Consider the following 16,210-nt stretch of genomic DNA (forward strand, 5'->3'; position numbering starts at 1 on the left):
GCCATCACAGCTCACTGCAGCCTCGACCTCCCTGGGTTCAGGTGATCTTCCCACTTCAGCCTCCCTGGTAGCTGGGAGTAGAGGCACACACCACCATGCCCTGCTAATTTTTGTATTTTTTGTAGACACGAGGTTTTGTCATGCTGCTGAGGCTGGTCTTACTCCTGGGCTCAAGCAGTCCACCTGTCTCAGCCTCCCAAAGTGCTGAGATTAAAGGCATGAGCCACTGCGTCCAGCCTGAAAATATTTTTCTTTTCATTTTTTAATGAAAAAAAAAAAGATGTGGCCCAAAATGAGAGAAAATATTTTTAATGTGAAACTTTTTGTCTTTGTTTATGCCTCACTTTAACACTTAATATTGACCTTGGCAAGTAATTTAACCTTTCTCAGATATAGTTTTTTCATTTATAATGGGAATAAAGCCTATTTCATTTAATGGTCAGTTCAAGGAGATAATACCACTTTAATGAAAAGACATGCTAGATTATTATTGCCTACTAACTTGCTGTGGGATATTGAATAAGTTTCTAGACCTTTCTGGGGCTTACTTTTCTCTAGTGGAAAATAGGATGATTGACCTAGATGAACCTTAAGACACTTCATCAAGTTCAACAGAGTTTAAACGTTAAAAAAAAAAAGGCTTGGCACAGTGGCTCATTCCTGCAGTCCCAGCACTTTGAGAGGCTGAGGAACGCGGATCACTTGAGCTCAGGAGTTTGAGACCAACCTGGGCAATATGGGGAAACCATGTCTCTACCAAAAATACAAAAATTAGCCAGTAATGGTGGCTTGCACCTGTGGTCCTAGCTACTTGTGGAGCTGAGGTGGGAGGATCACTGATCACTTGAGCCAGGGCAGGTAGAGGTTACAGTGAGCCAAGTTTGTGCCACTGCACTCTAGCCTGGACAACCAAGCCAGACCCCATCTCAAAAATTTATTTATTTATTTATTTTTGTAGAGATGGATTTTCATGATGTTGCTCAGGCTGTCTTATCCTCCTGACCTCAAGCGATTCTCCCATCTTAGCCTCCCAAAATGCTGTGATTCCAGATGTGAGCCATCATATGGCCTGTCCTTGTTTTCTGTTCCATTGATTGCTACTTGTTTTTTTCTATCTGAAACTTTAAAATTTTACATTTGTTTCCAAAAGTAGAGTTCATATTATGTATAAGCATCATATAGAGGACATAAACATAATACAGACTTAGCAGCTGTTGGTCTGTATCAGTTTAACCCCTTCAAAATAAGTTTATCTATCAGCATGGTTGATGCCTCACAAACTTATTTTCTCTGTAAGAGAAAAGTTAACCTAATAACAAGTAACAAGTTAACGTTATTCTTTTCTATCACCTTCTTTCCCTGTCTCCAGTTCCTCTTCTCTGGTAATCCATATTCTTATTTCAATGTGCACTTCTCAAAGAATTACTCATCATCCAGATCATCATCACTCATTCTACATCTTGGGGTAATTCTTGAGAGAGTTGTCATCATCCACAAGTGGCTTTGCTTTCTTCTTTCTCTTTTTCATTTGCTTTGTCAACTCAGCCAATTGTTCTTGCTCTTCTTTTGGCCACGCTGGGCTTATATTTCTAAATCCTTTCTCTTCCTTTTGTATCCCATGATTTGCTTGTTGAGCACCCCGTGATTGATTCCACATAGACCTGAGTGCACAGCAGATTCCATGGCATCAGATGACAATGCACTGATCAGAGTCACAAGTTCCTTGAAATCATTTGGTATAAAGTCTTATTCATGTGATGGTCCACAGTCAACCATTGTCAGTAACTGATCAATCTCAGCTAGAGCTATATTTTGTTTGTCTTGAACAAACTGTATTGGCACCACATTACTCAAGATCTGTTGAGACATCAAAAGATGCTTCATTTGTACAGTGCTCTTCTGTAAGTTGGCTTCTGTGTGCTCATTCTGCTCAGCAAAAAGAGGTGTCTTCTAATATACATAGAAGGCTGAGAGGTCTAAAGTCAGAGATACCTTGGAAAGCTACAAATTCAGGTTATAGATATCTTGCTTCACATCGGAGGTGCACTGCAATTTGTGAATGCTTGACAGAGAAGGCCATCCAGGGTCCTTAAGCATATGTGGTCTTCCTTAATTTTCTTTGAGGTATTCTTCATCAGGACTTCCAACTTAGATGGTTTGTAAGTAAAGTGAGATCGTAGAGAAAGAGCTTCAGACCAAAACATTATTTCTGACTGCTACTTTTCAAACTGTCAAGGTCATCAAAAACAAGGAAGGTCTGAGAAACTACCACCACCAAGAGGAGTCTACAATAAGACATGACATTGAAATCTAATGTGGTATCTTGGATGGGATTTTGGTTTTTTGGCAAACTTCTTGAGCAAGTTCTTGTTGTCACAGGAGACAGAACGGCCATAGAGGCACCCAGCTTAGCTGCTGAGCAGTTGCCCAGGAACCAGTGGGAGTCCCCCTGCCCCTCAGTTGGGGACTACATACCTTATTTTTATTATTTTCTTCCTTCTGCTTGCTTTCAGTTTAATTTGGTCTTCTGATTTCTTAAGATGGAAACTTAGGTCGTTGATTTTAAAGATTTCTCCTTTTCTAATATAAGTATTGTATGCTATAAGTTTCCCTGAAAACACTATATTAATGGCATCCCACAAATTTTTAATAATTGTGGTTTTATTTTTGTTCATTTAAAGTATTTTTAGGCCGGGCCAGTGGCTCACGCCTGTAATCCCAGCACTTTGGGAGGTCTAGGCGGGCAGGTCACTTGAGGTCAGGAGTTCGAGACCTGCCTGGCCAACATGGTGAAACCCTGTCTCTACTAAAATACAAAAACTAGCTGGGCATGGTGGTGCACACCTGTAATCCCAGCTACTCGGGAGGCTGAGGCAGGAGAATCACTTGAACTCAGGAGGCAGAGGTTGCGATGAGCCCAGATTAAGCCACTGCACTCCAGTTATGTATTTATTTATTTTGAGACGGAGTTTTGCTCTTGTTGCCCAGGCTGGAGTACAGTGGTGCAATCTCGGCTCACCACAGCAACCTCCGCCTCCCGGGGTCAAAAACAATTCTCCTGTCTCAGCCTCCAGAGTAGCTGGGATTACAGGTGCCCGCCACCATGCCTGGCTAATTTTTATATTTTTAGTAGGGACGGGGTTTCACCATATTGGTCAGGCTGGTCTCAAACTCCCGACCTCAGGTGATCCACTCACCTCAGCCTCCCAAAGTGCTGGGATTACAGGTATGAGCCACCACGCCCGGCCCAACCCATCAGTTGTTTTTTTGTTTTTGAGACGGAGCCTTGCACTGTCGCCAGGCTGGAGTGCAATGGCGTGATCTTAGCTCACTGCAACCTCTTGCCTCCCAGGTTCAAGCGATTCTCCTGCCTCAGCCTCCTGAGTAGCTGGGATTACAGGCGTGTGCCACCACGCCGGGCTAATTTTTGTATTTTTAGTAGAGGTGGAGTTTCACCATGTTGGCCAGGCTGGTCTCCAACTCATGACCTCAGGTGAACTGCCTGCCTCGGCCTCCCAAAATGCTGGAATTACAGGTGTGAGCCACCACGCCCTGCCCCCATCAATTATTTATAAGTGTATTCAGGAGAGATTTTCCAAATCTCTGTTACTAAATTTTAATTTAATTCTTTTATAGTGAGAAAATACTGTGTAAGAATTCAATCCTTCTAAACTTATTAAGACTTGTTTTATGGCTTAGAATATAGAACACATAACTTGGTAAATGCACCATCTAAACTTGATAAGAAAGTGTATTATCTTGTTCTTGGAGATAGATCAAATTGGTTGATACCATTCTTCAGGTTTTTATGTCCTCAGTCATTTAAAAAATTTCTTAGGCCGGGCGTGGTGGCTCACACCTGTAATCCTAGCACTTTAGGAGGCTGAGAGGGGGAGATCACCTGAGGTCAGGGGTTCGAGACCAGCCTGGACAACATGGTGAAACCCCATCTCTACTAAAAATACAAAAATTAGCCGGGCGTGGTGGCACATGCCTGTAAGCCCAGCCACTCGGGAGGCTGAGGCAGGAGAATTGCTTGAACCTGGAAGGCGGAGGTTGCAGTGAGCCAAGGTCATGCCACTGCACTCCAGCCTGGGTGACAGAGTGAGACTCCATATTAAAAAAAAAATAAAATAAAATTATTTGTCCTGTCAATTATTAACAGCCAAGTGTTAAAATTTCTGACATGGCCGGGCGTGGTGGCTCACACCTGTAATCCCAGCACTTTGGGAGGCCGAGGTGGGTGGATCACTTGAAGTCAGGAGTTCGAGACAAGTCTGGCCAATATGGTGAAACCCCGTCTCTACTAAAAATACAAAAATTAGCTAGGTGTGGTGGTGTGCACCTGTAATCCCTGCTACTCAGGAGGCTGAGGCAGGAGAATCGCTTGAACCTGGGAGGCGGAGGTTGCAGTAAGCCGAGATAGCACCACTGCACTCCAGCCTGGGCGACAAAGAGAGACTCTGTCTCAAAAATAATAATAATAATAATAAAACCTCTAACACTAATTATGTGAGCAATTCTTATTTAAGTTCTATCTTTTTTTTAGTAACATACTTCAAATATCTTATTAGTGCATACACATTTAGGATTGTTATCTATTGATGAATTTAATATCATGAAATGAACTTCATTTTATATAGTAACATTCATTTCTCTGAAATGTACTTTATCTCATATAACCATTTCAACTTTTTTTCTTTAGTATTAGCATAGTACATATTCTTCCATTCCTTTATTTTTATCATTTTTCTTTTTTTGAGATGGAGTCTTGCTCTATTGGCAGGCTGGAGTGCCATGGTATGATCTTGGCTCACTGCAACCTCCGCCTCCCAGATTCAAGCAATTCTCCTGCCTCAGCCTCTCAAGTGGCTGGGACTACAGGTGTGCGCCACCATGCCTGGCTAACTTTTGTAATTTTAGTAGAGATGGGGTTTCACCATGTTGGCCAGGATGGTCTCGTTCTCTTGACCTCGTGATCCACCCGCCTCGGCCTCCCAAAGTGCTAGGATTACAGATGTGAGCCACCGCTCCTGGCCATAGTTATATCATTTTTTTTCACTTTTATCATTTTTTTTTCCGCCTCCTTGGCTCAAGCCATCCTCCCACCTCAGCCTCCTGAGTAGCTGGGACTACAGGTGCACACCACCACACCAGGCTAATTTTTGTATTCTTTGTAGAGATGGGGTTTCACTGTGTTGCCCAGGTTGGTCTTGAACTTGTGAACTCAAGCAATTGTCCTACCTCGGCATCCCAAAGTGCTGGGATCACAAGTGTGAGCCACCGTGCCTGGCCCCGCCTTTACTCATATCTGTATCTTTAAATTTAGAGTAGGTTTTTCGTGGGCAGAATATGGTTGAGTCTTGATTTTTATCCATTGTGACGATTTCTGCCTTTTAATTAGAATATGTAGACTATAAACATTTAAACTGGATGCATTATGATTGAGTTTGAATACATCATTTTCTTTTTTGTTTATCCCATCTTGTCTTCTAGTTGGGGCATCTGTCTTTTGTTCTTTTTTTCCCTATTTTCCTGACCTTTTTTTGGATTAATTGAGAAATTTTAAATGATTCTATTTTCTCTTCTTTATTGGCTTAGTAGCTATTCTTATTTTTGTGTTTTTACTGATTGATATAGCGGTTACAGGACAAATATTTAGTCTACCATCAAATAATATTGAAACATTACATATACTGTTTAACAATTATACAACAGCATACTTCTACTTTTTCTCTCCCATTTTTGTCATACATTTAACTTGAATATGTAATTAATTACACAATATGTTGTTACTACTATTACTTTAGCCAGTAAATTATCTCTTAAAGGGAAAAAAATTAAAACAATCTTTTACATTTATCATCCTATTTACCACATATGATGTTATTCATCCGTTTATGTACACTCAGATTTCCTTCTAGTACCCTTTTCCTTCTCCCTGAAAGATTACTTGAACATTTCCAATACAGTCACTTTACAGGGGATGACTTATCTCATCTTACACATGTCAGAATTTCTTTTTTAAATTTTTCCTTCATTTTTTGAGAGGTATTTCTGCCGGATATAGAATTATTGGTTGACAGACTTTTTTCTTTTAGTACTTTGTCACCCCCCATTACTTGGCTTAAATTGTTTCTTTTCTTTCTTCTTCTTTTTTTCTTTTTCGTTTTGAGATACGGTCTCACCTGTCACCCAGGCTGGAGTGCAGCTCACTGCAGCCTTGACCTCCCCATGCTCAGGTGATCTTCCTACCTCAGCTTCCCAAATAGCTGGAACTACAGGTGTGAGACACCATGCTTGGCTAATTTTTAATTTTTTGTAGAGATGGGGTTTTGCCATGTTGCTCAGGCTAGTCTTGAACTCCTGAACTCAAGCAATCTGTCCGCCTCAGCCTTCCAGAGTGCTGGGATTATAGGCATGAGCCACTGTGCCTGCCCTTAAATTGTTTCTAATGAGTTATGGGCTGTCTTTCTTATATTTTTCTTCTGTATGTCATTTTTTTTTTCCTCTTCGTGCTTTAAAGGTTTGTTCATTGCTTTTGGCCAGGTGCAGTGGCTCATGTCTGTAACCCTAGCGCTTTGGGAGGCTAAGGCGGGTGGATCCCTTGAGGCCAGGAGTTTGAGACCAGCCTGGCCAACATGGTGAAACCCCGTCGCCACTAAAAATACAAAAGTTAGCCAGGATGGTGGCATGCACCTGTAGTCCCAGCTACTTGGGAGGCTGAGGCAGAATAATCTCTTGAAACTGGGAGGTGGAGGTTTCAGTGAGCTGAGATCGTACCACTGCACTCCAGCCTGGGCGACAGTGAGACTCCGTCTTAAAAAAAAAAAAAAAAAGGAAAGGATTTGTTCATTGGTTTTTAGCAATTTGATTATTGTGTGCCTTTGTGTGGTTTTTGTCATGTATCATTTGCTGAGGGTTCATTGAACTTGTTGGACCTATGAGTTTATATTTTTCATCAAATTAAAAAAATTTCTGGACCATTACTTCTTCTACTTCCTCCTCCTCATATCTCCATCTGGGACTCAAGTTGTATGTTTGCTAGGCTGTGTGATATTTTCTTACTGATCATTGATAGACTTTTTTTTTTTTTTTTTGAGATGGAGTCTTGCCCTGTCACCCAGGCTGGAGTGCAGTGGCGCAATATCAGCTCACTGCAACCTCCGCCTCCTGGGTTCAAATGATTCTCCTGCCTCAGCCTCCTGAGTAGCTGGGATTACAGGTGTGTGCCACCATGCCTGGCTAATTTTTTATATCTCTAGTAGAGACGGGGTTTCACTATGTCGGCCAGGCTGGTCTTGAACTCATGACCTCATGATCCGCCCGCCTCAGCCTCCTAAAGTGCTGGGATTATAGGCGTGAACCACTGCACCCTGCCTTGTTTTTGTTTTTATTTGTTTTTTCTCTGTGCTTATTTTGGATAGTTGTGGCTGTTTTGTCTTCAAGTTTACCAATCTTTTATTTGGTAGTGACTAAACTGTTGGTAATCCCATGTAGGTTATTTTATATTGCAGATATTATGTTTTTTATCTACAGAAATTTGAGTGGGTCTTTTAACCTTTTATTTTATTTTATTTTGAGACAGGATCTCATTTTGTTGCCCAGGCTGGAGTACAGTGGCATGATCACGGCTCACTGCAGCCTTGACCTCCTGGGCTCAATCAATCCTCCTGTGTCAGCCTCCTGAGGAGCTGGGACTATAGACATTAACCACCATGCCTGGCTAATTTTTGTATTTTTTTGTGGAGACAGAGTCCTGCCATGTTGCCCAGGCTGGTCTTGAATTCCTGGGCTCAAGCAATCTGCCCACCTAGGCCTCCCAAAATGCTGGGATTACAGGCATGAGCCACCATGTCCCGCCCTTTCATTTTATTATTTATGATGCTCATGATTTTCTTTATATTCTTGATCAAAAGGAGCACATTTATACTGTTTTAGTGTTCTCATCAACAACATCTGTGTTATTTCTGGAAGTTTCTCTTGATTAATTTTCCCTCTGCTAGATTATGGGTTCTATTTTCCTGCCTCTTTGCATGCATGGTAATCTTGTTTGAGCCCCAGGCATTGTGAATTTTACATGCTTGGGTGCTGGATTATTTTTATTGCTTCGTTTGGACTTTATTCTGGGACCTCATTAAGGTACTTGGAATAAGGGTCATCTTTTAAAAGTCTTGCTTTTATGCTTTGTGCACCTGGGTCCAGACAACCTTTATTTTGGAGCTAATTTGGCCTCACTGCTAAGGCAATACCTTTTTGACAACCTGACTCCATGCCCCCATGTTTGGAGGTCTTTCCTCCCTAGCTGATGGAGAAAAATTATTTACAGCATTGTTTAAGCTCTGGAGATGTTTTGCCTACTCTTTTCTAATGGTTCTTTCCCCTCCTCAGTAGTATACTCATACGTATGTGTAGATCAGTCCCCAGTCAAATCCTGAAGCAGCCCCTCTCCAGTTCTTGCGAGCTTTCCCTCTTTCTCTGTGCAGCTTCCTCTTTCCTGATTGTTTGACTTACAAATTCTAGCTGCCTGGGCATCTCTGAATCTCTGTCTTATCAACTCATTAAATCTTTGAGGTCCATTTGGATTCCCCTTCTCTATGGTGCAGTCCAGAAGCTCCCTCTGGGCAGTCGAAGGGCTCCTCTTGTTTGTATCCCTTCTTTCAGGATCACTGATTTGTCCTGTTGTCCTCTCTATTGTCCATTTTCTGAAAACTATTGTTTCAAAATATTTTGTCTGATCTTTTAAGGTAAAACAATAAATAATAAAATAAAATAATAAAATAAAACAATTGTTTAAGGTAAAACAATAATTCCCTATTATTTCATCATGGCAGAAAGCAGAAAAATTGAGACCTGGGTTTTTATTTTATTTTAATTTTTCTTTCAGACAGAGTCTCATTCTGTCACCCAGGCTGGAGTGCAGTGGTGTGATCTCAGCTCACTGCAACCTCCACCTCCTGGGTTCAAGCGATTCTACTGCCTCAACCTCCTGAGTAGCTGGGATTAGAGGCAACTGCCATCATGCCTGGCTAATTTTTGTATTTTTAGTAGAGATGGGGTTTCACCATGTTGGCCAGGCTGGTCTCGAACTCCTGAACTCAGGTGATCTGCCCACCTCAGCCTCCCAAAGTGCTGGGATTACAGGCGCGAGCCACCGTGCCCAGCTGAGAGCTGGGTTTTTAAAATACTAATTTTGACTTTGCAAAAATTACTTATACTCTCTGATTGTCTTTCCATAAATCTGGATGACAACAAATGAAAAGCATTCAATCTCACTAGGTATCAGGGAAATACAAACTAAAACTTTGGAAATAACGTTTACCTTAAAGATGTAGAAATTGAATGAAATAATATATGTAGAATCATTGACATATAGATGTAAATCCAATTCTATACATCTTAGGTTTGGGATTCCTATTAGACATTCAAGTGGAGATGTAGAATAGGCAGTTGAGCATATATATCTGGTGCACAGAAGAACGATCTGGGCAAAGAAATAAAGGAGAGCCTAAGACTAAACCTTGAGGGCAGGACATCCAAAGTTAAATTATAGTGGGGTAGATCATTTGTACCTACCTTCCCATTGAAGGTACTAAAAATTATAGACTACCTATAAATATGTCTTTTAAAAATCATAAAACAGCTAATCATTTAGTGAGGAATTACAAGGCAAGATATGGGACTTGGGGAGCATGTTTGTCCTAGGAATACGACACTCTGAGGAGGCAAATGAGAAACTAAACTGTAGTTTTAGAAGCCGTGCTGGACCGAAGGAATGAGGGTAGATCTATAGTTCCCACCAAGGATGGTGACCCACTCCCATCTTTGGGCAGGGCCAGGAATGTGTGTCCTCTAAGAGAAAGAATATGGATTATGAACCAGGTGTGGTGTTTCATGCCTTAATCTGAGCACTTTGAGAGGCCGAGGCAGGTGGATCACTTGAGGTCAGGAGTTTGAGACCAACATGGCCAACATGGTGAAACCCTGTCTCTACTAAAAATACAAAAAAATTAGACAGGTGTGGCAGCATGCACCTTTTAGTCCCAGCTACTCGGGAGGCTGAGGCAGGAGGTTGGTTTGAACCTGGGAGGTAGAGGTTGCAGTGAGCCAAGATAGTGCCATTGCACTCCAGCCTGGGCGACAGAGTGAGACTCTGTCTCAAAAAAAAAAAAAAGAATATGGATTATGGCCTTCCTTCACATCATGTGGCAGTGCAGAAAACCACACACCTTGGTCCTACACTGCTGACCACCTTGAGCACCTGGCAGATACATCTACAAACCAAGATCCTTTGCGGAGGAAGTTAACATCATAACAAATCTCAGATAATTTCTATAAATAATATTTCAACCACAGTTTCCTGAACACAGTGAAAGATAAAGAGGAACACAAAGACACAAGAAGCTGAGTCAGAGTCAGCAGGAAAAACAACAGAAAAAGAATCACAGGGACTCCAGAAAATTATAGACATGGGCTATAAAACAACTATGATTACTGTGTTCAAGGGACAAAATCAAGATAGAAAATTTCAGCAGGAAACTGTGAGCTATAAAAAACTGACATAGCAGATTTGGGTAAAAAAATTCCGGAAGCAAAAGAATATGAGACCAAATTTTTAAAAATTGGGCTAGTAGATTAGTTATAATTGAAGAGAGAATTAGGTGACTGGAATAAAGCTCAGAAGAAGCTATCCAGAATGAAGCAAGGAGTAATTAAACAATACAGTATAAAGGGTAAAAGTATACTAAATACAGTGGGAAGATCTAACATATGCAATTGAAGTTTTAGAAGAAAAAGAGAAAGAATGGATTATAGGTAATATTTTAGATATAATGGTTGATAGTCCACTGTCAAGAAGCCCTACGAAGCCCAAGCAGAATAAATAAAAGTATTAATAAATGCTCAACTGGACACATCAAAATGAAACTTTAATAATCAAGACAAAAAGAAAAATCTTAAAGTAGCCAGAAAAAAAATACATCAATTTAGAAGCTACACAAGGACTTCAGAAGACAGTGAAATGATATCTACAAGGTGCAGTGAGGAAATAACTATCACTCCGGAAATACTCCATTAATGAAGGTGAATCCATATATTTCCAAAAAAAAACAAAAGAGAGATATTATCAATAGCAGATAAGCACTTAAGGATATTCTAGGCTGGGCGTGGTGGCTCATGCCTGTAATCCCAGCACTTTGGGAGGCCAAGACAGGTGGATTACCTGATGTCAGGAGTTTGAGACCAGCCTGACCAACATGGAGAAACCCCGTCTCTACTAAAAATACAAAATTAGCAGGGCGTGGTAGCGCATGCCTGTAATCCCAGCTACTGGGGAGGCTGAGGCAGGGGAATCGCTTGAACCTGGGAGGCGGAGGTTGTAGTGAGCCGAGATCACACCATTGCACTCCAGCCTGGGCAACAAGAGCAAAACTCCATCTCAAAAAAAAAAAAAATATATATATATATATATATATATATACATATATATACACATGTATATGGATATTCTATAGATTATTCCTCATGTAAAAGGAAAATTATCTTGCATGAAAAATCAGAGATGCAGAAATCAATGAAGACCAAAGAAAATGATAATTATGAGGATAAATCTAAATCATATTGACCGCGGCGGGGCGCGGTGGCTCACGTCTGTAATCCCAGCACTTTGGGAGGCTGAGGCAGGTGGATCATAACGTCAGGAATTCGAGACCAGCCTGACCAATGTGGTGAAACCCTGTCTCTACTAAAAAAAAAATACAAAAAAAATTAGTTGGGCTTGGTGGTGTGAGCCTGTAATCCCAGCTACTCAGGAGGGCTGAGGCAGGAGAATCGCTTCAACCCGGGAGGTGGAGGTTGCAGTGGGCCAAGATCGCACCACTGCACTGCAGCCTGGGCGATAGAGCAAGACTCTGTGTCAAATAAAAAAAAAAAATCATATTGACTGCGAAAACAGGGGGTGTGAAAAACAATAATAAAGTCTTGTGGGGTTTAAATGTTATAGAATTTCAGTAAATGGCCAAAATATCACAAATGGTATGTGTGTGTGTGGAGGGAGTGTATATAGTAGATTTTTTTTTTGTTTATGTTTTTGAGACAGTAGTCTTACTCTGGAGTGCAGTGGCACAATCATTGCTCACTGCAACCTCCACATCCCAGGCTCAAATGCTCCTCCCACCTCAGCCTCCCAAGTAGCTGGGACTACAGTTATGCACCACCACACACAGCTAATTTTAAAATTATTTGTAGACACAGGATTTCACCATGTTGCCCAGGCTGATCTTGAACTCCTGGGCTCAAGTGATCCACTTGCCTTGGCCTCCCAAAGTGCTGGGATTACAGGCATGAGCCACTGTGCCCAGCTGGTAAATATTTTAAAGCAATTTATGGATTCTTGATCAAGAGGATATTAAATGTAACAATACTAGATTTTAATAGGTAAGGATGAATGTGGTAATTGCTAAGGCAATCATTAAAAGAATAAAACAGAATATAACTGCAATGAGATGCTACTTCACACCCACTAGGATGTCTATAATTAAACAGACACACAATAATAAGTGTTGACAAGGATAGGAGAAATTGGAATCCTCATATAATGCTGATGAGAATGTAAAATGGTGCAATGCAGCCACTGTGGATCAGTTTGGCAGTTCCTCAAAAAGATAGTCATAGAATTACCATTTGACCCAGCTATTCCACTCATAGGTATATACCCATAAGAAATGAAAACAGGAACTCACACAGATACCTGTACATGAATGCTCATAGCAGCATTATTTATGATCATCAAAATATGGAAGCTTGAGTGTCCATCAATGGGTGAATGAATACATGATTTTAGAATTTTAGAATTCCTTTTCAGTTTTGGGACATTTTTATTTCTTTTTTTTTTTAATTTCTTTTTTCCATTTTCTTTGTTCTCCCTTGGAAGAACTTTTATTAGACTTTTTTTTTTCTTTTAAATGAGATGGGGCTCTCTCTGTGTTGCCCAGGCTGGCATCAAACTCCTGGGCTCAAGGAATCCTCCTTGATTATAGGTGTGTGCCACCGTACCTTGCTTCTATTAGATATTTTACTTCTAGGGTTGGACTTCTATCTCTCTTATCCTTTCCTTCACATTTATTTTTCTTTTTGTCTTATATGCTGGAATATTGTCTTTCTTTTATCTTTTAACCCTTCTACTGAATTTTAATTTCAGGAATCGTATTTTAATCTCTAAAGATTCTTTCTTCCTTTTTAAAAAATAACATCATTTTCCTATTGTAAGAATGCAGTATCATTTTTAATTTCTGAGGATATTAGAGAGTTTAAAATATTTTCCCTCTTATGTTTTTTGAATTATCTCCATTCTCTATTGTCATTTAAAAACCGTTTATCGGCTGGGCACAGTGGCTCATGCCTGTAATCCCAGCACTTTGGGAGGCTAAGGCAGGCGAATCACCTGAAGTCAGGAGTTCAAGACCAGCTTGAAACCTGGACTTGAAACCCTGTCTCTACTAAAAATACAAAAATTAGCCAGGTGTGGTGGTGTGCACCCGTAGTCCTAGCTACTCAGGAGGCTGAGGCAGGAGAATCACTTGAACCTGGGAAGTAGAAGCTGCAATGGGCCAAGATCACGCCACTGCACTCCAGCCTGGCAACAGAGTGAGACTCCATGCCAACAGAGTGAGACTCCATCTCAAAAAACAAAAACAAAAACAAACAATAAAAAAAAGTTTATGAAAACTAAATGTGGCTGGGCGCAGTAGCTTACACCTGTAATCCCAATGCTTTAGGAGGCCAAGGTGGGTGGATCACTTGAGGCCAGGAGTTCAAGACCAGCCTTGGCAACATAGCGAAACCCCATCTCTACTAGAAATACAAAAATTAGCTGGGCATGGTGGTGCACACCTGTAATCCCAACTACCCGGAAGGCTGAGGCAGGAGAGTCGCTTGAACCTGGGAGGTGGAGGTTGCAGTGAGCCGAGATGGCGCCATTGCACTCCAGCCTGGGCGACAGAGCAAGACCTTGTCTCAAAAAAAAACCAAAACCAAAACCAAGAAAACCCTAAGTGTGATGTCTGTGTGGAAGGGTGCTGCCTACCACCAGGCATGTGTGGGCAGGTGGGGCCTATACATCTTAGAATGTGAAGTATTTATCACTGCTTGTCTCACCAGCTGTTCTGGTTCTTCTCAATTACTTCAATGTGTTTCTTTACAGAACTCCCTGCTCCTGTTTTTAGCCTAGGACTTAAAAGCCTAGATGCCACATTTTCTTTATGTGGTGAGAGAGAGGTGAAAAGGTTTCACGGGATTGTGCCCAGAGAGACTTATGATTAATCTCCTCTGGTTTCATTTCTACATTTTACTGTTGGCCTCCCTTGCCTTTGGCCTGAGTCCATAGCCTGTCTTGTATTCTGCAAAGCATAGCAGCTTGCTTGTTGGTGCAGCCTTCTTTGACAGTAGTTAATGGTGTAGCTTTTTTTTTTTTGAGACGGAGTCTCGCTCTTGTTGCCCAGGCTGGAGTGCAATGGCTCCATCTTGGCTCACCGCAACCTCTGCCTCCCGGGTTCAAGCGATTCTTCTGGCTCAGTCCCCTGAGTAGCTGGGACTATAGGTGTGCACCACTACGCCCGGCTAATTTTGTATTTTTAGTAGAGATGGGATTTCACCATGTTGGTCAGGCTGGTCTTGGACTTCCCACCTCAGGTGATCCGCCGGCCTTGGCTTCCCAAAGTGCTGGGATTACAGGCGTGAGCCACCCTGCCCGGTCTGGTGTAGCTTTGATACTTTGCTATAACAATCACTAGTCCTCTGATTTTTATCTTTCAGATATTAGGTGGAATAACTTGCTTGCTAATGACCTTCTCCCATTTTCATTTGTGTTTTGTACGTTTTTAATTCCTTTCTCGTTTGTCAGGGTGATGTTGGGATGATAAACACCTGTGGCCAGTCTAGTCTGTTATCTGCTACTGAAAAAGAAAATTTCATTAAATAAAACAATATTTGCTGTATGAAGATTATCTTAAACGTACATCTTTGAGGAAAAAAATGCTAGAGCTTTACAGGTTTTGCAAAATGAACTTAATGTTGAGATGTTTAAGCAATTTTGATTCAGTAGGTGGCACTCTTTCCTAGTTTAACTCAATTCTAAATTGTGAACGGTTTGAAAATAGATTTTTCTTATCGGTATAATTTAAATAGATTGGGTTTCAGAGTTTCGTGATTGTCAACCTTAATCACTTGATATTTTCAGAATTTAAAAATACTTAAGCAAATTTTAAAATTAAGATATTAAACTAAAATCTCTAATATTTACAAATTTCTGTTGCATAATAGTGATTTATGTTCTGTCAAAAGTCAAAAATAATTACAATCTTATCAGAAGCCCTGACTGCTAAAGGTGTTTGGATTCAAGTTATCGAATAAATTTTTAAAATTCCCTTTTAGCACATGGGCACTTTCATTTTATTCTCTTTCTTCTTCTTCTTCTATATCTTTATCTCTGAACAGTCCCCCAATATATCAGTGTTTTTAATGTACTGTATAATAATTTTTTTCTTTCTTTTTTTTTTTTTGAAACATGGTCTCACTGTGTTGCCCTGGCTGGAGTGTAGTGGCTATTCACAGTCACGTTCATAGCACATTGCAGCCCTGAGTACCTGGGCTCCAGTGATCCTCCTGCCTCAGCCTCCTGAGAACAATGTACTATATAATCTTTCAACTGAGCAAAGCACAGTCTCTGCAATCCTGTAACTTAAAATCATAATCAAGTATTAGTTTGTGCAATTAAAACTAATACTAATGTAGTTTAGAGAAACTTTTAAATGATTTTGGAAAACTTTGCATGATCTGTAAATAATAACAAGCAAATGCATCAAAGTGTCTTTACTTCCTGTTCTGAATTTGCAACTAAGTAGCCAGTATGTAAATCACACTTGAAATTGTAATATAGCGTTCTCATAAATCTAATTAGGTCTGAAGCAAAATATGAAATGTTAGAACTTTAAGGCACTTTGGAGGTTATCCAGTCTAACTTTTCAATGATCAGAAACTTTTGTTTTTTTTGAGATAGGTCCCACTCTGTCACCCAGGCTGGAGTGCAGTGACGTGTTCATAGTTCACTGCAGCCTAAATCTCCCAGGCTCAAGTGATTCTCCTGTCTCAGCCTCCTGAGTAGCTGGGACTACAGGCACATGCCATAATGTCCTGCTAATTTTTTTGGATTTTT

At 40.7% G+C, this 16,210-nt stretch overlaps 1 pseudogene, besides 2 other annotated features; it reads right to left on the minus strand.

Moving 5' to 3' along the window:
* On the minus strand, positions 1,343 to 2,198 carry LOC100420929 (ribosome binding factor A (putative) pseudogene; annotated as a pseudogene).
* Positions 13,949 to 14,048: an enhancer, noted in NCBI's record as "active region_9483". NCBI's record gives its function as "activates an Ori minimal core promoter by ATAC-STARR-seq in GM12878 lymphoblastoid cells {active_cell/tissue: GM12878}" and the evidence as "EXISTENCE:reporter gene assay evidence [ECO:0000049][PMID:35858748]".
* Positions 14,439 to 14,488: an enhancer, noted in NCBI's record as "active region_9484". NCBI's record gives its function as "activates an Ori minimal core promoter by ATAC-STARR-seq in GM12878 lymphoblastoid cells {active_cell/tissue: GM12878}" and the evidence as "EXISTENCE:reporter gene assay evidence [ECO:0000049][PMID:35858748]".

Source organism: Homo sapiens, chromosome 15, assembly GCF_000001405.40.
Source record: "Homo sapiens chromosome 15, GRCh38.p14 Primary Assembly".
Lineage (NCBI taxonomy): Eukaryota > Metazoa > Chordata > Mammalia > Primates > Hominidae > Homo > Homo sapiens.